Genomic DNA, 22,495 nt, shown 5'->3' with positions numbered 1-22,495 from the left:
AATAAATCAGCAGGCCTGTAAGACTTCATGTTTATCAAGCTCCCTGAAGGATTTTCACACACACTCATGTTTAAAAGCCACTGATGTATAACAATCACAAGGAGCTGATTGTCTTTGCTCTGTCATAGTTGTGGTCCCCAAGGAGGCCAGAGGAAGAAAAAGTCTAAGGTTAGGGTGGTTCAGGTAAAATGCATGCGTGTCTGCAAACTCTCTCTCTCTCACACACACACACACACACACACACACACACACACACGCCCCTCACCACCAACAATCACAAATTACCAAGGAAGAAAATTACCTTTAAGAGGTAGAAATGCTGTAAAACATGCAGAGCTGTTTGTTGCTGTTGTTTTGTTTTGTTTTATTAACTACCAGAGCTATCAATCCTTCATGATCTGTTGGACTATAAAGCACTTCATATTCCTCTACTAAAACATGTATTCAAAACTGATGTAAGATTAATTAAAAAAACTGTGAGCAACTTTTGCTCAATCACACTGGTCTAATGATTTAAAGATAGCAAAGATGTTTCCTTATAAATCTCCTTTGTTGGCAACATCAACAAAGGTGACAATGACCATTTGAAAGGAATAACAGAAACAAGTCCCTTCTAGAAACTGAAAGGAGTCAGGCACAGTAGTTCACATCTGTGATGGCTCATGCTATTCAGGAGGCTGAGGCAGGAGGACTGCTTGAGTCCAGAAGTTCAAGGCTACAGTGAGCTATAATGGTGCCAGTGCACTCCAGCCTGGGCAATAGAGTGAGACTCAGTCTAAAAAGGGAAGGAGGCAGGGAGTGACGGAGGCAGGGAGGGAGGGAGGGAAGGAATAGAAGGGCAGACAAAGAAAAAAAACAACCATACTTTCTCAAATGGAGACAAGAAATCAGCCAACTGTTAATGCAAGTTCTCTGTGCTGGTAGTATTAAAAGACTTGATCTGTAAGTGACAGGTTCTCTATTCAGATATCCATCTCTATGATTAAAGGAGTCTTTAATCATTCAAGTGCTTGTTGTAGACTTTTATGTCACACTTTCACTAGTATGGTACTCTGTAAAACTATTCAACTAATAGCATCCACTAATATAGACAAATCTAAAGATCATGATTGATTACCCACTAAATTCTGACAGACTACTTTATTAATCAGATACTCTATATTTATTCTCAGTAGTAACAATAAAGAAAAACCTTTCATTTGTTCTTTTCTGCTTGTGATTTGTTTTTGTTTGATACTGATATTTTTAGACCTTTCTAGTATAGTCTGGATGCTACCATGATAATTAAAGGTAGGCATGTGGCTCTGTTCTGACCAATGAGATGTAAAGAGAAGTCAGCTTGGGGCTTCTGAGAAAGACTTTGCTTTTCTGATAAAAAGTAAGAAAGTGGCTGGACCTCCAGGTACCCTCACCCTTCCTGCCTTGAGAGCAGACATGATAGAGCTGAGGTATCCATGTGAAAGAGACTAAGAGAACCAACAGAGACATTAGCTCTGTCTTTGTTTGGTTGTTAAACCAATGTCAACAGTCACCCACCTCTATACTTCTAATTATTTGAAAAAAAAATAACTAATCTTTGTTTAAGCTACTACTGGCCAATTTTTCTGATTATCTGCAGTGGAAAGCAGCCCTTGCTGGTACATACCTTCTTTTCCTTCATCACATTTCCAAATTCAAATTCAGATATCACCAAACACCTCAACTATCCTTACACTCTGCTGAACTACAAAAGCATTATCTGTAACTTAGCTGTGGCCATCTTCATGTTTTTGTGTGTTATTATTATCACCATTTTTCCAATGGAAAGCAAACTCCTTGAGGATGGAGTTTCTGTTTCATTCATCTTCCTTCCTCACAGAGCACTCAGCACAGTGACTAGCAATCTTAAGTGTTCAACTAAATATTTATGAATGAATTGATAATAAAGAATAACTTCTTTTGTCACTTAGATGACAGTAATCAAACTCACAGTTCTCCTCATGTAAATGACCTCTGGAAGGTTCTCTTTCTACACTCTGTAGAGCCATTCATGTACTAATTCCTCATTATTAACTGACCACTTACTGTGTGCAAGGCAATATCCTATATATCAAAGGAACAGAAATCCATTTAATACAGTTCTTGACTTCAAATCGTTTCTAGAAAATATAGTTTTATACAGAAAATGAAAATATATTCACTAAAGTTATGCCTTATGGCCTATTTCAGATGTCAGCCCTTGAAATAGTTACTTAAACTAGGCTTCCTTGTGATAGAAATGACATTCAAAATTCAAAATATGGCCAGGCATGGTGGCTTACACCTGTAATCCCAGCACTCTGGGAGGCCGTGGCAGGCAGATCACTTGAGCTCAGGAGTTTGAGACCAGCCTGGCCAACATGGCTAAACCCCATCTCTATTAAAAATACAAAAAATTATCCGGGCGTGGTAGCATGCACCTGTAATCCCAGCTACTCAGGAGGCTGAGGCTGGAGAACTGTTTGAACTCGGGAAGGGGAGGTTGCAGTGAGCCAAGATAGCATCATTGCATTCCACCCTGGGCAACAGAGCAAAACTCTGTCTTAAAAAAAAAAAAAAAAAAAATCAAAATATACTCATAGAACTATAAACAGAATTGCATTTACAAGCAATTCCAAACTTACTAACAAAATTCTGAAAGTACATTTTTAGATGAAACTTGGAACACTGTTTTCAAACAAATGACTTTTTAGATTGTAGTTAGGTGTCTGATCAGCCCCAGATGCCTGTTTAACCTTAACATGGCAGAATAATGGACCATGTATTCCCAGAATAAAGACTAAGTCAGTGAAAAGGAAATTTTAAAAAAATTAATAAGAGACAAAAACCCCATACTACCCCACTCCTTGTTTGGGCTTGGTGTTAGCTCAAGGCAAAATCTCCAAACAGATGAATGTGTGCTTAGAATGTCTCTTTTATGTAGAGTCTTCTCTTTCTTAGATACTAAGCTGAAAGTGCCTTTATTCAAATCTTAATCACCATTCCCATTCTCTAGATGACAAAGCCCCACCACCACCAAAATCATTTTCCCCACCCTAACAGTCAATGCAAAACTCTCTTTACCTCAGATATAAGAAAGAAGGCAATGTGACCAAACTAATCTGCAAGAATGCCTTCCAGCAGTATCTACCTTGTAAAAACAGCATATGTGCTAACCATTAAAATGAGCTGAGTATTTCAGGTACAGTAGCGGTTGTCCATTGTGTGTGTGAGAGAGGGTGCTTTTTTGTGAGTAATCCTGAAATGAATGGAATCTGAGGGTAAACTATCCTATTCCAATCCTTCTATCACTTCTATCCATTTCCAGTTCCTGAACTCCCGGTTCTTGATGACTCTTCTAACAAAATGTATTTTGTTCAACAAAGAAATATGAAGGATCTACTCTGTGACAAAGTGTTTCTCTTTTCCCCCCTCCTACAGTAGGTTCCACAGCAGACAAAGCAAAGATTTTAATAAGAGGGAGAGCAATGGGTGAGCAGGGGCAACCTGCTGGATTCAGCATGGGTCATTTTAAATTTGGCAACCATCTGTACTTACAGCACTGAAGACTTTAATTAAAACAAAAATGTGATTTCAAGGAATTTAGTTTAACTAGTCTTTTATGCTGCAGAATTTGGCAAAAGTTGTGTGTGCATGTGCATGTGTGTGTATTTTATATTGAGCAAACTTGATTTTATGAATCTTCAAAAATAGAACAGACATGAATTATTTTCAATATTTTTTAAACTAAATCTTACATTCATTCCTTAATAAGGCTTAACAGGGTCACTAAAACATCAAGTTTCTTTGCTTTTAATGAGTATTGTACCGGCAATGTTTTACTACACAGGATAACTCAGGCTGATCAAGAGTCCCACTGATGGCCAGGCGCGGTGGCTCACGCCTGTAATCCCAGCACTTTGGGAGGCTGAGGTGGGCAGATCATGAGGTCAGGAGATTGAGCCCATCCTGGCTAACATGGTGAAACTCTGTCTCCACTAAAAATACAAAGAATTAGCCAGGCGTGGTGGCGAGCGCCTGTAGTCCCAGCTACTCGGGAGGCTGAGGCAAGAGAATGGCGTGAACCCAGGAGGTGGAGCTTGCAGTGAGCCAAGATTGCGCCACTGCACTCCTGCCTGGTCGAAGAGTGAGACTCCATCTCAAAAAAAAAAAAAAAAAAAAAGAGTCCCACTGATTTAATAGATATCTGTCACTTCTCAATAAAGAATGACAAGACTTTAACCTATCTTAATAAATGCTGTTTACCAGATTAAAATATTTCAAAATGGATGTAGAAGGAACATGCTAATTTGAGCTCTTAGTAATAAACCGTTTGGAGACCATGATTATGGATTTTGTTACAATATGAATACATTGCAGAAATAAAACACATTCTGGAAAAGTATACTATATATGGATATTAGTCCTCAACTGAGGAGGTAGTATCTAAGCATAAAAAAATTAAAATGTGATCCAAAATGGAGCTCACAAAACATCACTTCTACTATTATGCCTGCTGAAAGCTATCAGTATTATTTTAAAGTTATTTATTTTCACTTATGAAAGTAGGCATTTTTAATAAAGGTTGTCTCAGGGAATTGAAGATAACATTATAAATGACTTATAATTTACAGTCCTGCTTTTCAAAGCTTATCCATTTCATTAAAAGATGCCTTAAAAACTATCTTTATTTTAGAGATGATGCACAGGTAGTAAGACTATAAAGAAAAACACAGGCCAGGCGTGGTGGCTCACACCTGTAATCCCAGCACTTTGGGAGGCCAAGGCAGGTGGATCACTTGAGGTCAGGAATTCGAGACCAGCCTGGCTAACATGGTGAAACCCCATCTCTACTAAAAATACAAAAATTAGCCAGGCATGGTGGCGCATGCCTGTAATCCCAGCTACTCCAGAGGCTGAGGCAGGAGAATTGCCTGAACCTGGGAGGCAGAGGTTGCAGTGAGCCGAGATTATGCCACTGCCCTCCAGCATGGGCGACACAGCAAGACCCTGTCTCAAAAAAAAAAAAAAGAAAAAAGAAAGACACAGAAATCATTTTCACTAAAGTCCAATCTTAATTGCCACAGAGAAGAGAGAGTGCCATACTTCCAGGTGGTCATTTCTGAAATGGTAATAACACCCTGGGTAGGTGTCATGGGTTGGACTGTGCTCTCCCAAAAAAGGTATGTTGAAGTTCTAACCCCCAGTCCCTACTTAGAAATAGGGGTTTTGCAAATGCCGTTAAAAGAAGGTCATTAAGGTGGGTTCTATTCCAGTATGGCCAGTGTTCTTACACAAATGAAAAATGTGTTACAGACACACACACACAGGAAAAACACCATGTGAAGATGAAGGCAGATATTGGGATGAGGCATCAAGAAGCCAAGGAGTGCTAGAGATTGCCAGCAAACCTCCAGAAGAAGGTAAGAGGGAGGCATGGAACAGTTTCCCCCTTACAGCATTCAGAAGGGATTAATGATCCCGACACCTTGATCTCAGAATTCTAGCCTCCAGAATGAAAAGACGTAAGGCTGCACTGTTTAAGCCACCCAGTTTGCAGCACTTCATTACAACATCCCCAAGAAATGAATACAGTAGGGTAATTATTTTTAATAATTACTTTTAAACTATATTTGTGTGTTGTGTGAATTTTTCTGAATGTATTTTTTAATTAGCAATAAAAAGTAGAAGGAAAGCCACTTCTTTGAGAAAGGTAAGAGAAAACCATGGAACTGTGCAAGAATCAAAAGGGACATATTATGTTAGGTCTCTGAGTTGGAAAATTAATCAAGTTACAGAATTTGAGGGTAATGAAAGCAACTAAGGGCAGCAACAACAAAACTGTAACGACAAACATTTTGTCTTTTCTCAAAAATTGAGAATTTTCAGATATGAATTTAGTCTATCTCTAGCCTAGGAAAAAATGATAGAAAAGAATCGAAATTAAGTTCAGTTGCTTTTCCATTAATACATTTGATTCCTTTTATCCTACGTTTTGAAATTTGCTCTAGAGGTTTATAAAATCATTTTCCTTAATATCCAGATATCTCAATGTGTTTTAGAATTTTAGCCCCTACTATTGCAAATGCCCTTTAAAAAGTTTTTAGTTCCATATTCAACCTGGAAGCTAGCGAGTCTTTGCTCTTCTCATTAGCTTCATATTGTTTTCAGTAATTAGTAATGTGGTTTTCTTTTCACTTATTAAGTTAGAAAAGGCAATCCTATGTGACATTCTTTTCTGAATTATAGCAGAGTACTAAAAATTATTTTTAGTGTACCTTTTTAAAAAAGTGTTTCTGAGAAGTAAACATTTATTTGTCTACTATTCATGAACTAATTCCACGACCTATCATTTACTTTCCATTAGCAGGCCAGGATTTTTACAAAGTCTACAAGGCTGACGTTAGTCTTATTTTACAGATAAGAAAGCTGAGATTCAGAAGTGGCACAGTGGACATTCTAATCTAGTACTTCTAGTTCTTCTATCCTAAGAACTGTTTTTCAGTCTGATATACTAAATGCCATCTAAACCTACAAACTCAATCTAACAAAATCACCAATCCTATCCATGTGCAATGCAGAAAGAGGATTTGGTCCAGACCTTTTTATATAAAATGCAATATTTATGTCACAATATGGGCAGTATTTCCTCATGAAAACTTTGGCATATTATTAGTACATTTTTTCCTAATGAAATACTTCTTGTGACAATCAGTCCCTAGGACAGTTTGCAATAATCCACACCTCCTAGTACTTGGCACCCTCATGTACTCCCCACTCCCCACCCACACCGCACCAGGGTTGGTTTCTAAGTCCAACAGAATGTGGTCTGACATTTTTAAGGTTAGGTTCTAAGAGACTACAGCTTCTGGTTTGGGTTTTCTCTCTCTCACCACTGTACTCTGATGTGAGTAAACTGCCATTCTGAGGACACTCAGGCAGCCTCTGGTGTGGCCTAGGAGGTGAGGGACTGAGACTACCAGGACAGCCACAAGGAACTAAGGCCTGTCCACAACCACATGTGTTGAGCCATTTTAGAAAGCAGTGGCTTTTGTTATCCTCAGCAAACTAACGCAGGAACAAAAAAACAAACACTGCATGTTCTCACTTTTAAGTGGAAGCTGAACACTGAGAACACATGGACACATGGAGGGTACAACACACACTGAGGCCTGTCAACGAAGAGGGAGAGCATCAGGAAGAATAGCTAGTGGATGCTGGGCTTAATACCTAGGTGATGGGTTGATCTGTGCAGCAAACCACCATGGCGCACATTTACCTATGTAACAAACCTGCACACCCTGCACAGGTACCCCAGAGCTCAAAATAAGTTTAAAAAAAAAAAAAGAAAGAAAGTAGTGGCTTCCCTGGCCCCAGCGTTTGACTCCAACCTCATGACAGACTTTGAACCAGAACCACCCAGGCAAGCACTCCAAGATTCCTGCCCCTCAGAGATTGTGTTAGATAATAAATGTTGTTGCACAAGCATATTAGTTATGCAAAGTAATATGATTTAAAGTGTGGAAATGTACTATTATTAAACTTTATTACTGGATTTAGAAAACAAGTAATTCATAATTATATTCCAAGTACAAAACTGATGAATTCATTGATATAGTTAAATTTCGACATAAGACACCAACCTATATCACCTTCAGAATTTTAATACTAATAGTTCAAATCAAAACATTTTATATACATTTACATTATATGACAGGTACATTAGGAAGTTTTTTAATGTTTTATTTTTAATTGACACATAATAATAGATATTTATAAGGTATAGTGTGATTTCCAATATATACACACATTAGTTAATGATAAAGTCAGGGTAATTAGCATATCCATGACCTCAAACACTTGTTATTTCTTTGTGGTGAGAACATCCAAAATCCTCTCTTCTAGCTATTTTGAAGAACAAAATACATTATTATTGACTGTAGTCATCCTACTGTGCAACAGAACACCAGAACTTATTCCTCCTAACTCTCACTCTGCACCCCTGACCAACCTCTCCCCATCCCCTGCCCCTCTAGTCTCCCTGTCTCTGGTAACCACTATTCTACTCTCTACTTTTATGAGGTCAACTTTCTTAGATTCCACACTAGTGAGAAATGCAGTATTTGTCTCTCTGTGCTTAGCTTACTTTGCATAATATAATGTCCTTTAGGTTCATCCATGTTGTCACAAATGACACACACACACACTCTCACAATGTAATACTATTGCAATGATACACAATGATATCTCCTCAACATATTAATTTCATTTACTTTTGATATATATCCAGAACTAGAATTGTTGGATCATATGATACTACCGTTTTTTATTTTTTAGGACCCCCCCCCACATGCTGTTGTCCATAATGGCTGTACTGTTCCCACCAACAGTGTATAAGAGCTCCCCTTTCTCTACATCCTTGCCAGTATTTGTTATTTTTTGTCTTTTTGATAATAGCCATTAAAACCAGGCTAAGATGATGACTCATTATGGTTTTGATGTGCATTTCCCTGATGATTAGTGACATCGAACATTTATTCATGTACCTGTTAGCCATTTGTATGTCTTCTTTTAGGAAATAGCTATTCAGATGTCTTGCCCATTCTTTAATCAGATTTTTTTTCTATTGAGTTGAGTTCTTTATACAGTTGAACCTTGAACAATGCTGGGGTTGGGGGCACCAACCCCCGACAAAGTTGAAAATCTGTGTATAACTTCTGACTCTCCAAAGACTTAACTACTAATAGCCCAAGTTGATGAGAAGCCTTGCCAATAACATAAACAGTTGATTTCCACATACTTTGTAAATTATATGTTGCATTATATATTCTTATAATAAAGTAAGCAAGAGAAAACATTATTAAGAATATCCTAAGAACAAGAAAATATATTTACTATTCATTAAGTGGAAGTGGATCATGATAAAGGTCATTATCATCTTTTCATTGAGTAGGCTGAGGAGGAAGAGAAAGAGGAGGGGTTGGTCTTGCTGTCTCAGGGGTGGTAGTAAATCCTCATGTAAGTGGGCCTGTGCAGTTCAAATCCATGTTTTTCAAGGTTCAACTGTATCTTCTGGATATTAGCCCTTTGTCAGATGCATAGTAGTGAATATCTTCTCCCATTTTGTAGGTTGTCTCTTCACTCTGTCGATTGTTTCCTTCACTGTGCAGAAGCTTTTTAGTTTAATGTAATCCCATTTGTCTATTTTTGCTTTTGTTGCCTGTGCTTTTTGAGGTCTTATTCAAAAAAATCCTTGTTCAGGCCAATGTCATGAAGTGTTTCCCCTACGCTTTCTCATAGCAGTTTCATAATTTGGGTTCTTTTTTTTTTTTTTTTTTTTTTTGAGACGGAGTCTCGCTCTGTCGCCCAGGCCGGACTGCGGACTGCAGTGGCGCAATCTCTGCTCACTGCAAGCTCCGCTTCCCGGGTTCACGCCATTCTCCTGCCTCAGCCTCCCCAGTAGCTGGGACTACAGGCGCCCGCCACCGCGCCCGGCTAATTTTTTGTATTTTTAGTAGAGACGGGGTTTCATAATTTGGGTTCTTACGTGTAAGTCTTTAATCCATTTTGAGTTAATTTTTGTAAGTGGTGAGAGAGAACCGTCTAGTTTTATTCTTCCACATGTAGATATCCAGTTTTCCTAGTACCATTTCCTGAAGAGATTGTCCTTTTCCTAATGTGTATTCTTGACATCTTTGTCAAAAATCAGTTGGTTATAAAAGCATGGATTCATTTCTAGCTTCTCTATTCTCTTTCATTGGTCTATGTGTCTGTTTTCATGCAGTTACCACAGTGTTTGGTTACTACTCTTTTGTAGTATATTTTAAAGTTAGGTAGTATAATGCCTGCAGCTTTGTTCTTTTTTCTCAAGATTCTTTAGCTATTCAGGGACTTTATGTGGTTCCTTGCAAATTTTAGGATTGCTTTTTCTATTTCTATAAAGAATCTCATTGGTATTTCTATAGGTATTGCACTGATTCTGTAGATTGCTTTGAGTAGTATGGCCATTTTAATAATATTAATTCTTCCAATCCATTAACATGAGATATCTTTCCATTTGTTAGTGTCCTCTTCAATTTATTTCATCAATGTTTTATAGTTTTCATGGTAGAAGTCTTTCACTTCCTTAGTTATATTTATTCCTAGATTTTTTTTATCTATTGTAAACGTGATTGATTTCTTTCTTTTTCAGATAGTTTGCACTTGGTCTATAGAACCACCACTAATTTTTTGTATATTGATTTTATATCCTGCAATTTTACTAAATTTGTTTTTTAGTCCCAACAGCTATTTTTAAATGGCGTCTGTAGAGTTTTCTATATACAAGATCATGTCATCTGCAAACAAGAACAATCTGACTTCATTCTTTCCAATTTGGATGCCCTGTATTTCTTTCTCTTCTCTAATTGCTCTGGCTAGGATTTCAGTACCATGTCAAATAGAAGTGGTGAAAGTGGGCATCCTTGCCTTGTTCCAGATTTTTAGAGAGAAAGGTTTCAATTTTTCCCCATTCAGTACGATGTTAGCTGTGGGTATGTCATTTCTGGTCCTTATTGTGTTGAGATACATTCTTTTTATACCTGATTTGTTTAGGGTTTTTATAATAAAGAAACATTGAATTTTGTCAAATGATTTTTCTTCATCTATTGAGATGATCAGATGGTTTTTGGCCTTCATTCTGTTAATGTTATGTGTCAAATTTATTGAATTGTATATGTGGAACCATTCTTGCATCTCAAGGATGAATCCCACTTGATCACTACGAATGAACTTTTAGATGTGCTGTTGAATTTAGTTTGCTAGTATTTTGTTAAAAGATTTTTGCATGTATGTTAATTTGTGACACTGGCCTTTTTGCTTTTTGTTGTGTCTTTGGTTTTGGTATCAGGGTAATGTTAGCCTTTTAGAATGAATTTGGATCAACTCCCTCTACTTCAATTTTTTTGAATAGTTTGATAAGAATTGGTATTAGTTTTTCTTTAAATGTTTGGTAGAATTCAGCAGTGAATCCATCAAGTCCTGAGCTTTTCTTTGCTGGGAGACTTTTAGTACTGATTCAATCTTGTTACTTGTTATTGGTCTGCTCAGGTTTTCTATTTTTCATAGTTCAATACTTTGTTTTGCTACCATTTCTTTCTTTTTGTGTTTCAGAGACAGGGTCTTGCTCTGTCACCCAGGCCAGAGTGCAGTGGTGTGATCATAGCTCACTGCAGCCTCCAACTCCTGGGCTCAAGAGATCCTCCCACCTCAGCCTCCCTAGTTGCTTAGCACCACCACACCGAGCTAATCTTCTTCTTTTTTTTTTTTGTAGAGACAGGGGTCTTGCTATGTTGCCCAAGCTGGTCTTGAACCCAGCTTCAGGCAATCCTCCTGCCTTGGCCTCCCAAAGTGCTAGGATTACAGGCGTGAGCCACACTGCACCCGGCCTCAAACTGCCATTGTTTTAGGCTTCTCTAATTACACATTTTAAAATGTATAACCTTTCTCTGGCAGAATATATGGGCTGCCTATTTACAACAGATGTATCTATTAAATCTTCAGAATTTTTTCTACTCATATAGAATTTTAAACATCTTCATTAATATATTTCTTTCTCTATTTATATCACATTGTATGCATATATGTAACCACTGGACTTTTTTAACTTAAGTAATCAGGAGGTTGAGAGTTCCGCACAGTTTGCATAAATATGGTGTACTGGATAGGAATGTGGGATCTGGAATTCAGGAGACATAGACTGCAATCCTGGCTATCAAATTTGCTAGTTATATGACCTTGGTAATTTACTTAACCTCTCTGTTCCTCACATCCTCATTTATAAAGTGGCTATAACACCTACCCCATAGAGTTGAATAAGAAATGAAGAATACAAAAAACACTCTTAGCACAGAGTATAGCATGCATATAGCAAATACTAAATTAATTAATGTTCTCTTTTTTTTTTTTTTTTTTTTTTTTTAGTGCAGCAAAATGTAGAACAAAAGCGCTGAAGAAACTTTCCCAGTTGGGGATAATATTGTTTTGGATATTATCGGTCATTTTGTCTATATTCTGATCAGCATTTTTTGTAAATGTGATCACTTTGGATTTTGCATTTTAGTAAGGGCAAAATACTTATTCTTTGAATATGATTTTAAGGTATACCAAGGAAGGATAGCGAAAAACTGAATCTTCCATTAATTAATGGTGTCTCAGACCTCCCAAATCATGGCTTCTCAGTGTATTTTTCTTTATCCTGTAACAATAATAAAAGTCCTAATACTGAGGATCAGGATCATTCATGCCATGCAATTATCATATTACTTGCTACTTACAGAGAACTTTAGAATCTATAAAGCATTTTCCAATGCATTACCTAATTGAATCATCTACTAAGTTCTAGTTGAATACTAAAAATTAATTTTAAATGTAAAATTAATTTAAACATTAAAATGGGGAGTCCAATTCTGTCTAACTTCAAAGTCGATCATGGCACTAATGACTGCCTCTGTCTCTTGGATTATTTGTCCAGGGGAAGAAGGGGACAAACTGGGTGGAAGCTGTGGACCACCACGTCAGTAAGTACGTGCAGGGATTGCGATCTACCCTCCTCGGCATCAATTATACAGGGAATACCCACTCCATTCCCTCCCCTCACAGCCAGCACTTTGCTGAGGTAAAAGGATAACCTGTCTGAAAAAGCTGGAGAACCCAGTTTCAAAGTTTTTCCCTTCTTTTTTCCCCCATGATTTGCTTTGGAACAGCCTGATCCATTATCTTTTTTAGCAGCTCATTATTTCAATTTAATGTCCTTATCTGCTGTTTCTTTCCACTTGGCAAAGCTCCTCTTATCAAATGTTACTCTGTATTTAAAATCTGAAAGATAGCTAATATGGGGCCTATTACAGCAAACACAGAAAAAAACCTTATTTTGCCATTATTTATTTGCATTCAGAACTGCCTTCCTTTTTGGAGCAAGTTATTTAGCCTCAGAAGATATAGTTTTTATCGTTAAATTATTTTACACTTTCTTCAGAATCGTCAGCAATCACCACTATGAGAAAAGCCACTGGATAGCAGCCATTTAAATGATAGATGACTTTCCAAAAGAAAGGAGATGAAGGGATCTTGAATTAGAAGGAAATGTGCACTTTAAAATTGTGGTTAGGCAGCTGAGGCAAAAGGATCACTTGAACCCAGGAGACCAAGGCCAGCATGGGCAATATAGTGAGACCCCACCTCTTTAAAAAAAAAAAAAAAGAAAGAAAAACTACCCCTGGCCAGGTGTGGTAGCTCACACCTGTAATCTCAGCACTTTGGGAGGCCAAGGCGAGCAGATCACTTGAGGTCAGGAGTTCAAGAACAGCCTGACCAACATGGTGAAACCCCGTCTCTACTAAAAATACAAAAATTAGCCAGGCATGATGGTGCATGCCTGTAATCCCAGCTACTCAGGAGGCTAAGGCAGGAAAATTGCTTGAACCCGGGAGGTGGTGAGCCAAGATCGCACCACTGCACTCCAGCCTGGGTGACAGAGCGAGACCCAGTCTCAAAAAAAAAAAAAAAAAAAAGAAAAGAAAAAAGAAAGAAAGAAAGAAAAGCTACCCCCCAAAGATTTGTGGTATAAACTCTGAAATTTTAGCATTTTCTTAGATTTCACAGTTGTTAGTAATCTATCTGTTAATACTTGCATTTAATACGCTACCATTTATAAACACAGTATCTTCTTATTAAGACATTTTAATCATTTATTAATGGCTTATTAAGTGGTTTGTCTTGTTCCAGCTTTATGCCAATGTTATTACTTGCAGTTTGAAATAAATCAGTAGTGGTTAATAGTTTCAAAATTCGTTTTAATAACAAAAAATCTAGTCTTACGTTTTTCAATTTAAACCAATATTAATAAACCAACTCACTTTTTGGCATCCTCCTCTACAGGCAGAAATTCTTCAAAATATCACCCACATGTCCTCTCCTTCCCTTTATTACAGAAAGACCCTAAATCCACATAGAAACAGTTTCTTACTAACATCAAAAAGCAACACAACATTGTACCAAAATATTTGTTAATTCAGGTTCCTTTTTTTTCTTATCACCTGTTTTGACCCCAAAGCTGCAAATGAACATTATTTGAGGAGTTTTATATTTGTGTTTAATTATTTACTTAGAGTAAATAACTAACTTGTGTTAATTTGTATTACACTTAGGCAACAGAATATCAATATTCTATTCTGTATTTGAACTTCCAAGCCACTGTATTCACTCTTTTATGTTTTATTTACCACTAAAATTTAGCTTCCTAAAAAGAATCTAAATGAGATGGTGACTGAGTAGCAAAGTTCATAGCTTCTAAAAGACTTAGTTCCTCATCTATAAAATGGGGATATATCTTCCTCAGAGGGTTATTGGGGGAATTAAATGAGATAATGTATGTAAAGCTCTCAGCATGGTGACTGAGACAAAGTTCAAGAAATGTTGCATTCATGGTGACAAGGATGATGAGAATGAGGATGATGACAATGATCATGATGATGATGGAAGGTGTGTCCCTGTAGGATATCACATGATATGCACACTATTGATGATGAAGAGGCATCCTCAATTGGAGATATGGAGCAATTTATCACAACACGTTACTGAGATTCAGTGTGAAAACAGCAGGACCAATATAAGGTGGCAGTACTACAATCCGATATGAATTCAATTTTTTTTTTCTTTTTTTTTTTTTTTTGAGATGAAGTCTTGCTCTGTCACCAGGCTGGAGTGCTGTGGTGCAATCTCAGCTCACTGCAACCTCCACCTCCCTGGTTCAAGCAATTCCCTGCCTCAGCCTTTCGAACAGCTGGGACTACAGGCACGCGCCACCACACCCGGCTAATTTTTTGTATTTTAGTGGAGACAAGGTTTCACCATGTTGGCCAGGATGGTCTCGACCTCCTGACCTCGTGATCCGCCCACCTCGGCCTCCCAAAGTGCTGGGATTACAGGCGTGAGCCACCACACCCAGCCGAATTCACATTTTTTTTCAGAGAATTGTAATTAGGTTTCAAATTACTGGTCAAATATCACTTTGAGTTTTAAACATTTGTTTCTGTAATAGAAATAGTCACAAAATATTTTCAAAAACAAAAATGTTTATTTCAAGAGCTGCCATGAAATTATCACTTACATGGAGAATTAAGCTGCACAAACATTTCTCTAAATACTTCCAGAGGTTAGTGAACATGTTTAAACACATGTGCTGAGGAAAACAAAACTAACCCAAACACAAAACGCTGCTGTCAGGGTTCTTATGAATGAATAAAGCTGTCTTATTGCAGGTTTTCATCTGCTACTATTTCTTAAATGATCACTGCTAGGTTTTATGTAAGTTCTTTCCTTTTTTCTAATTCCACATCAAGCACATAAGTATATATGCACTATGAATAAAATTCATGGCCATGAAATGATTTCATTCTATAGTAAGAAATCCAAATAATGTTTTAAAAAACAAATAAATGGACGACTGCATTTGACTAATTGGTAGAGTAATGAAGAAAATCCATTTTTATTACTTCTGAATTAATGAAAGCTGTAATAGTGCATGAAATAGCTGCTCACCCTTCCCTTTAAAAAATGGTCTACAATTTGACATTCCACTGTGGTGTTCTTGGTAATTTGTCAGAGACGCTCTCTCAGCCAACCACCATTAAGCGCTGGAAGAGGTATGTCTTTTTAGCTTCCATTTGTATTCAAAAATGACTCTTTTTATATTAAAATCTGATTTTATTTTTACTTTTCTCCTGCTGTTCCAAGAAATGTTCAAGGATACAAACATAAGACATGGCTTCTCCATGGCTACTCTAATAAATATTATTTTTCCTGCTTCTCTCCAGAACTCATTACATAACTTTGGTAATCAGTGTAAGGAATATGTAAAGAATATTTAAGTCAATGGAAAAAAAAACTACATAAATACAAAGAAAACATAAAAGTAAGTAAACCCTCTCGGGTGATCTCTCTTTTAAAGTTGTTCCACATGTTTTATTACTATCATATAACCAATATATTACACTTCTCTTCCAAAGTTCCCTAATACATACTGGGAAGGACAGGAAGAACTACAGATCTGCCTAATTCAACAATTAAGTACTCATTACTCACCAAAAAAAAAAAAAAAAAAAATTGAAACTCACATAAAACATCATTAGATATCACGTGTCTCTTACGTAGCATTCATAGAATGTTTATGCCAGTTGACATAAGCTACCTGACTTCAGTCAGCATATCCCCTCTTTGTGGGTATAGGTGGGCATAGAAAGAACATAGATACCATCACTACATGAATGCTTGCTACTTGATAAATTCAGCAAATAGAGTTTTCCTCTCAATAAACCCAAAAATACTCGGGAATCTCGACACAAAGTAGTGATGCTGTTACTGAGGAAATGAAGTATGCCCGACGCTTCTAAAACCAGCACTATGTGTATATTCATGCAGCTACGTGAAAGTGCTCACTCCTTTACATCATAGTCGTAATTAAGTCTCTGTCTATGAGAAACTGGAACACAATTCATGCAGGCTGCAGAAGGTTTCATGAAAGAAAAGAAGTTTTAAACTGGCAAAAATAAAATAAAATCAAAGTATATGAAATATTTACTCACGTAAATGTAAACATAGTTTTCTGAAGGCTTAGCTTATTTCAATTTTATAACTTTAATAACATTAGACTCAAGGTCATTACTTAGGTTTGGAATCTTTACTTGAACTACAGTTGAAGTGTGAACACACAGATGCATACATGTGCACACACACACCCTCACAACTGTATTAAATACCAGGCAGCCCCTAGTAACAACCAGGCCAAGTGTGGCATTAAAGGTTTTGTGGTTTCTGGGGCAAAAGAAGCAAAGCAAAGGTTTCAGAGCAAGAACACCGAGGCAGAAATAAAGAAGTTCAAAAATCAGTCAAAATAAGCAAATAGTGTGTCTAAAAACCAGGAGGTCAAAGAGAGATTAAAAAGGACAAATTTCACTGGTCAAAGCAAACAAGACTTACATCAAGCTTGTCCAACCCAGGGCCCAACACAAATTCTTAAACTTTCTTAAAGCTTTATGAGATTTTTTTTGCCATGTTTATTAGCTCATCAGCTATCGTTATTATTAGTGTATTTTATGTGTGGCCCAAGACAATTCTTCTTTCAATGTGGCCCAGGGAAGCCAAAAGATTGGACACTCCTGACTTACATGTTATAGTTTGGCAGAGCAAAATAATACTACCACCATCACCATTTTGTTATGAGCCTGTTCTGGGGCTACTTCATTTTCTAAAGTTTAGTGTGTTTCCTGCCCATGTATTTATTTACCCACTCACTCATTTCATGTATAATATACTGAGCATGTACTATGTGCTAAATATTGTATAATTCAGTTTTGGGTTCCATTGAGTTTGAGGTATCCATGGGAAGTATGAATGGCCATGGACAATACACAGCTGTATATACGGGTTTAGAGACAAGGAGAGAGATCTTGATGGCAAATGAGAAACTGGTGTTGTCAGCATCTTCAGTCTTTTTTATGAAGCCATGAGAATGAATGCCAGGGTCCTGGAGGGAGTGCAGAATGAGACGAGTAGAAAACCCAGACAGAACTCTGGAAACCAAACTGATAACTGGGAGGAATACCAGAAAAGCATGGCATCATGGAAGTCCAGGGATCAGAGTATCTCAAAAAGAAAGGAGTGATCAGCAGCGTCAAATGCTGCCAAGAGATTATGGAAGATAACAACTCAAAGTGTCTATTGGCAGCAGATGACCTCAGGTTTGGAGGTATACAAGGAAGCTGAATGTAGTTGGTTAAGGAAAGACTGAAGATAATGGTAGGTTCATGGGGTTGGTGGGTGGGGGTTATTAACCCTTCTGGAAGCATTCAGTTATTTGGGGGAAGAGAACTTTCATTTTAAATAATATATAAGATGAAAAAAACCAAGGTGGACCATAGGGGTCACAGGCTTTTATAAAAAGAGAAATAAATCTTTAGGTGGCAATTAAAAATGGAAAGGCCCAACTTTGAGGGGAACTGATGAAGTATATTTAAGGAAATGCTGGGTGAGTCTGAGTTAAAGGAGTACAGCAAAGAGTGGTTATAATGTAAAAGCTAAACTGGAGCTTTTCTGTACTGAGTTGGAGCGGTGGACAGTGAATGTAACTGCAATAATTCCAAAGCTAGTTTTTCTACACTTATGCTACAAAATGTCCCATCCTAAAAATCTCAGAGATAATGAGAACTTCTGTAAGCCCATAATGCTTACTGTGATTTTACCACCAAATTCAGGATTAAGAAGTGCACAGTCCCCACACTAAGAGACAGAAGTCAGTCCAAAGGATAAGGGAGTAACTCTGTTAAACAAAACTGAAAATTTTTAGCTTTCTAAATTGTTAAGAGAATAGGCAAATGCAAAATAGAATGCTGGAATAGAAAATGAATACTTAGGCCGGGTGCGGTGGCTCAAGCCTGTAATCCCAGCACTTTGGGAGGCCGAGGCAGGCGGATCACCAGGTCAGGAGATCAAGACCATCCTGGCTAACACAGTGAAACCCCGTCTATACTAAAAATACAAAAAAATTAGCCGGGCGTGGTGGTGGGCACCTGTAGACCCAGCTACTCGGGAGGCTGAGGCAGGAGAATGGCGTGAACCCAGGAGGCGGAGCTTGCAGTGAGCCGAGATCGCACCACTGCACTCCAGCCTGCGCCACAGAGCGAGACTCCATTTCCAAAAAAAAAAAAAAAATGAAAATGAATACTTATAATAACCCACACTTAAAAGATATCAAAGATAAGTTACAAATTAACAAATTCAAATGTTTAAAAAGTTAATAAAGAGCTTATCACTATGTTTAATATATAATAACAGTGAAATAACCAGTAATTATTAAAATCTTATTTTTAAAACTGTAAAACATATATATTTACATAGCTTTTTCTGGGAAGAAGAGCATAGTATAGAGATGGCATATGTTTTTCAGAAAAAAGATCAATCTTCCCACGCAGACACTGAACATAGAAGACCAGTTTCATCTGGACCTGGGAAGCCAGAATTAATTTGGACAAATTAACTAAAATCATCATCATGCTAAGGCGCCACACCAAATAGCCATTCATGGTTATATTGGTTTGTGGAACTCAGTGCTCTCACTGGAAAAATAGAAAGGTTTTGGCCAATAGATTGAGTTTTCAATATTAACACTGAATAGAATTTCTAACTGTGTTATAGAGCAGATCTCTGTCCAAAGTTTCACAGTGTGTAGAGGGGGCATATTTTAGATGTGTTTTCAGACATACTTAGGTATATACATAAACATATCAAAAGTGATTTGGGTTTTGGAAAAGTGGATGTGTTTCCTTACCTGTGCATTAATAAACTGGTATTTAAATTTTATTCCAACATGTATTCAAGACATATGTCAATATGTCTGAATAAGGCTAATATGCATTAAAGACAAAATTCAGTGTCAACAGATTATAAACTTTGGAGAAAGTAAGCTATGTCCAGAGTAAAGACAGAAAGGAATAAGTATATTTGAACTACTGATCCACTCTTTCCCTGGAGCTGTTAATGATTTCATTTCTTTTAATGTGTTAAGTTCAAGCAAGTTTATCAAGGTTTAGCTCACTACTGGTTTGTATGAAATAACAATGTTCACCACTATCAATCAATCATGGTGAGGAGCTAAATTAATTGTGGTTATTTCATGTAACCTTGCATGATATTTTCAGTGCAAAGATTTGTGTTATAGGTACTATATACACAAGGCCATGTGATAACTGAATTGTGCCAACAGAGGAGAAATCCCTAGAAAAACTGTCAGCCCTCTTTGTAACCTGTTCTATTTTACATGATCGAATTTTTCAATTTTGGCCTAATCAACTTAAATTATTATTGGTACAATTTTGTGAAATACAGAATTAATGCAATTCAAATTTTATGGAATTATAATTGACTATAAAATGGTTTTAATATGATTCTAATTTGAAATCATTCATTGTTCCAGAATTCATCTATTTGGTGGTATCATTTGAAAGTTAAAAAAAAACCATCAATGGTATATTTGGTTGTAACTGATTTTCTTTACTCCTTGCTTAATAGAGAGCTGTGACACATCTTGAATCTAAAACTATTATCTGTAGAGTTACAGGGGTATAATCTTCAGGGACCCCACAACATAGGATATAAACAATTCAATTTTGAAACCCAAAATACACTAGGAATTACTAAGCATTAGTTAAAAATACATATTGAAAAATGCTTATATTTCTCTATTAATTTCTTTTTTACATCTGAGATCATGGGGTATGTTATGCGTGCTTGTAGATTTTTGACAGAAATGGGAAATTCCTGGGATGAAATGTAAATATCAATAGGCAGAATTAGAACTGGAATTCATTTATTCCTTCATTTTCTAACTCTGTTCCAAGAAGGTGTTTCAGCACTGGGGGTGCAAAATGGAGACCAATTTGTTCCCTTCTAGAAAGGTCACAATTTATGTAAAAAGACAGGTACAGAAGAAGACTATATTTTATTTCTTCATCATCCATCATTTTGGTTAATGGTCCTCAATATTGGTTATGGATATCTTGAGTTTTCGCAATAGATTCTGATAGTGAACTATGATCAGCTTCTCAAAAGACAGATAATTTCCATGTTATCTTGTCTCCTCTTCATGAGCATCTTAGAGCTTGATGTCTTAGCATGATCTCCAAACATATTGGACTGACGTTTATGTAAGTTACATAAGTAGTCCCATTGCAGAGAAAGACTGCAATGTATCCAACAAAGTATATTTTGGTCTGTGTGATCTCACTACTTACTAGAGTACACTTCGATAATTAATTTGCATTAAATTATATATATTGTTATATCCTATTGAGATAGACCTTGAGCTAGAAGACTAGAAAGGGAAAAAGCAAAATGCCAAATCATTGGACATTGATTGCAGGTGAATGCTTAATTTTAAAATTGAATCTGAGTTGACCAGAAGCCACAGGTTCTTTTGACCAAGCCTTTTAAGTGAGCTACAATAACAACTTATGGTACATACAAAAGTGTGACTCCATGCAAAAGGTAGGAATATATTATGACCATAAGAATGCCCATGCCACCATAATTTACAAAATGCATGTCTATTCACAATCGAAAAGATGGTATAAATTATGCAGGAAATAGAACTACAGTTTACAACTTGCTAAGCAAGATTGTAATCTCCTCATAACCATCTTTTAATGTAACACCTCACCATTATGCTAGGCATGATCAAACTTTTGGTCAACCTATTTATGTTATAATTGCAATCATTAGCTTTACAGGACAGTTACTATGGAATCAGAAGATAAGTAAGGTGATGATTTAGTACAATTTGAGAGTGCAAAAATGCTTAATACCGACAATGTCTATGGGAGGTATTAAAAGGCAAGATAGAAGAGGAGAGCTATAGGGTCAGCTAGACTCATACTGGGATTAGGAGAAGGGTATAGGGAAGAGAAAAACAGTATGATGCAGAATAGTTATGTGGGGAAATGGAGGGGCCCCAGAAGAAAGAATGAACTAGAAAACAACTTTACAAGAGTCAGAAGGTAGCTAACATGGTAAAAGAATGTCATCCCATCAGTCCAGACTGAGGCTTAAATCCAATTTCAAAACTTTACTAGCTATGACCTCATCTATAAAAGAGAAATATTACAGAACCTATCTTATTGGGTTATGGAGAAATTTAAGCGATCTAATGTAAAGATGAAAAAGTGAACTTTAAACAAGTTAAAGTTTATGGGTAAATAGAACAAACCAGGAAGCGAGCATGCTTACAAAAGAGGACAAACACCAACAGTGATAAATAGAAGACATGAGAACAGGAATACATTAACATCATTAGGACCCATCCACTACTGAATCAGCTAAACCGAAACAAACCTGGTGTACTCCATCACATGATTAATGCTTAAGAAATTTGGGGAAGATTACATATTTGGAACCTTCATCATTTTCTCTCCAAATTGTTGACTTTGTGTTGCATTAAGCTCAAGGCAGCTCTCAACTACAGGACTATGCCACCACTAGGTCCTCTCATCCTTCTATAATAATCCCCATTTTAGTGCTTCAGATTGTTGAGAGACAAGTCTCTATGTCTCTCACATTTCTGCACATCTTGCAGACAAAGTACTATTAACTGTCCTTTGTTAAGGCCTAATTAAGGCTGTACAGAGAACAGTCTTGGAAGACACAGTGTCTTCCTCCAGAGTAAAAGGAAGACATGTTTACTGCCTGTTTTAAAAGATTCAAGTTCCCTAAACTCAAGGGTCCTCTTGTAACACAACCTACTGCACTACTGTGTGTGCAGGTATCATTTGACCCTCTTTTTATCACCCTGTGGGAACTGGGGCTCAGATAATTACCTTACACACTAATATTCTGACTACTGTTAATGCTGTGAGTAATAAACTGTCCTTCATCTCCGACCCGGCATTCATTAAAGTGTGGCAGGCCATGG

At 37.0% G+C, this 22,495-nt stretch overlaps 1 protein-coding gene across 17 annotated transcripts in view; it reads right to left on the bottom strand.

Annotated features, from left to right (window-relative positions):
- Positions 1-22,495, bottom strand: part of NPAS3 (neuronal PAS domain protein 3) — an 869,389-nt gene that overhangs the window by 828,057 nt on the left and 18,837 nt on the right. The gene's annotated exons all lie outside the window — the stretch shown is intronic.

Source organism: Homo sapiens, chromosome 14 (assembly GCF_000001405.40).
Source record: "Homo sapiens chromosome 14, GRCh38.p14 Primary Assembly".
NCBI lineage: Eukaryota > Metazoa > Chordata > Mammalia > Primates > Hominidae > Homo > Homo sapiens.
The sequence above is the reverse complement of the archived record's forward strand: the minus strand, read 5'-3'. Positions and strand labels throughout refer to the sequence as shown.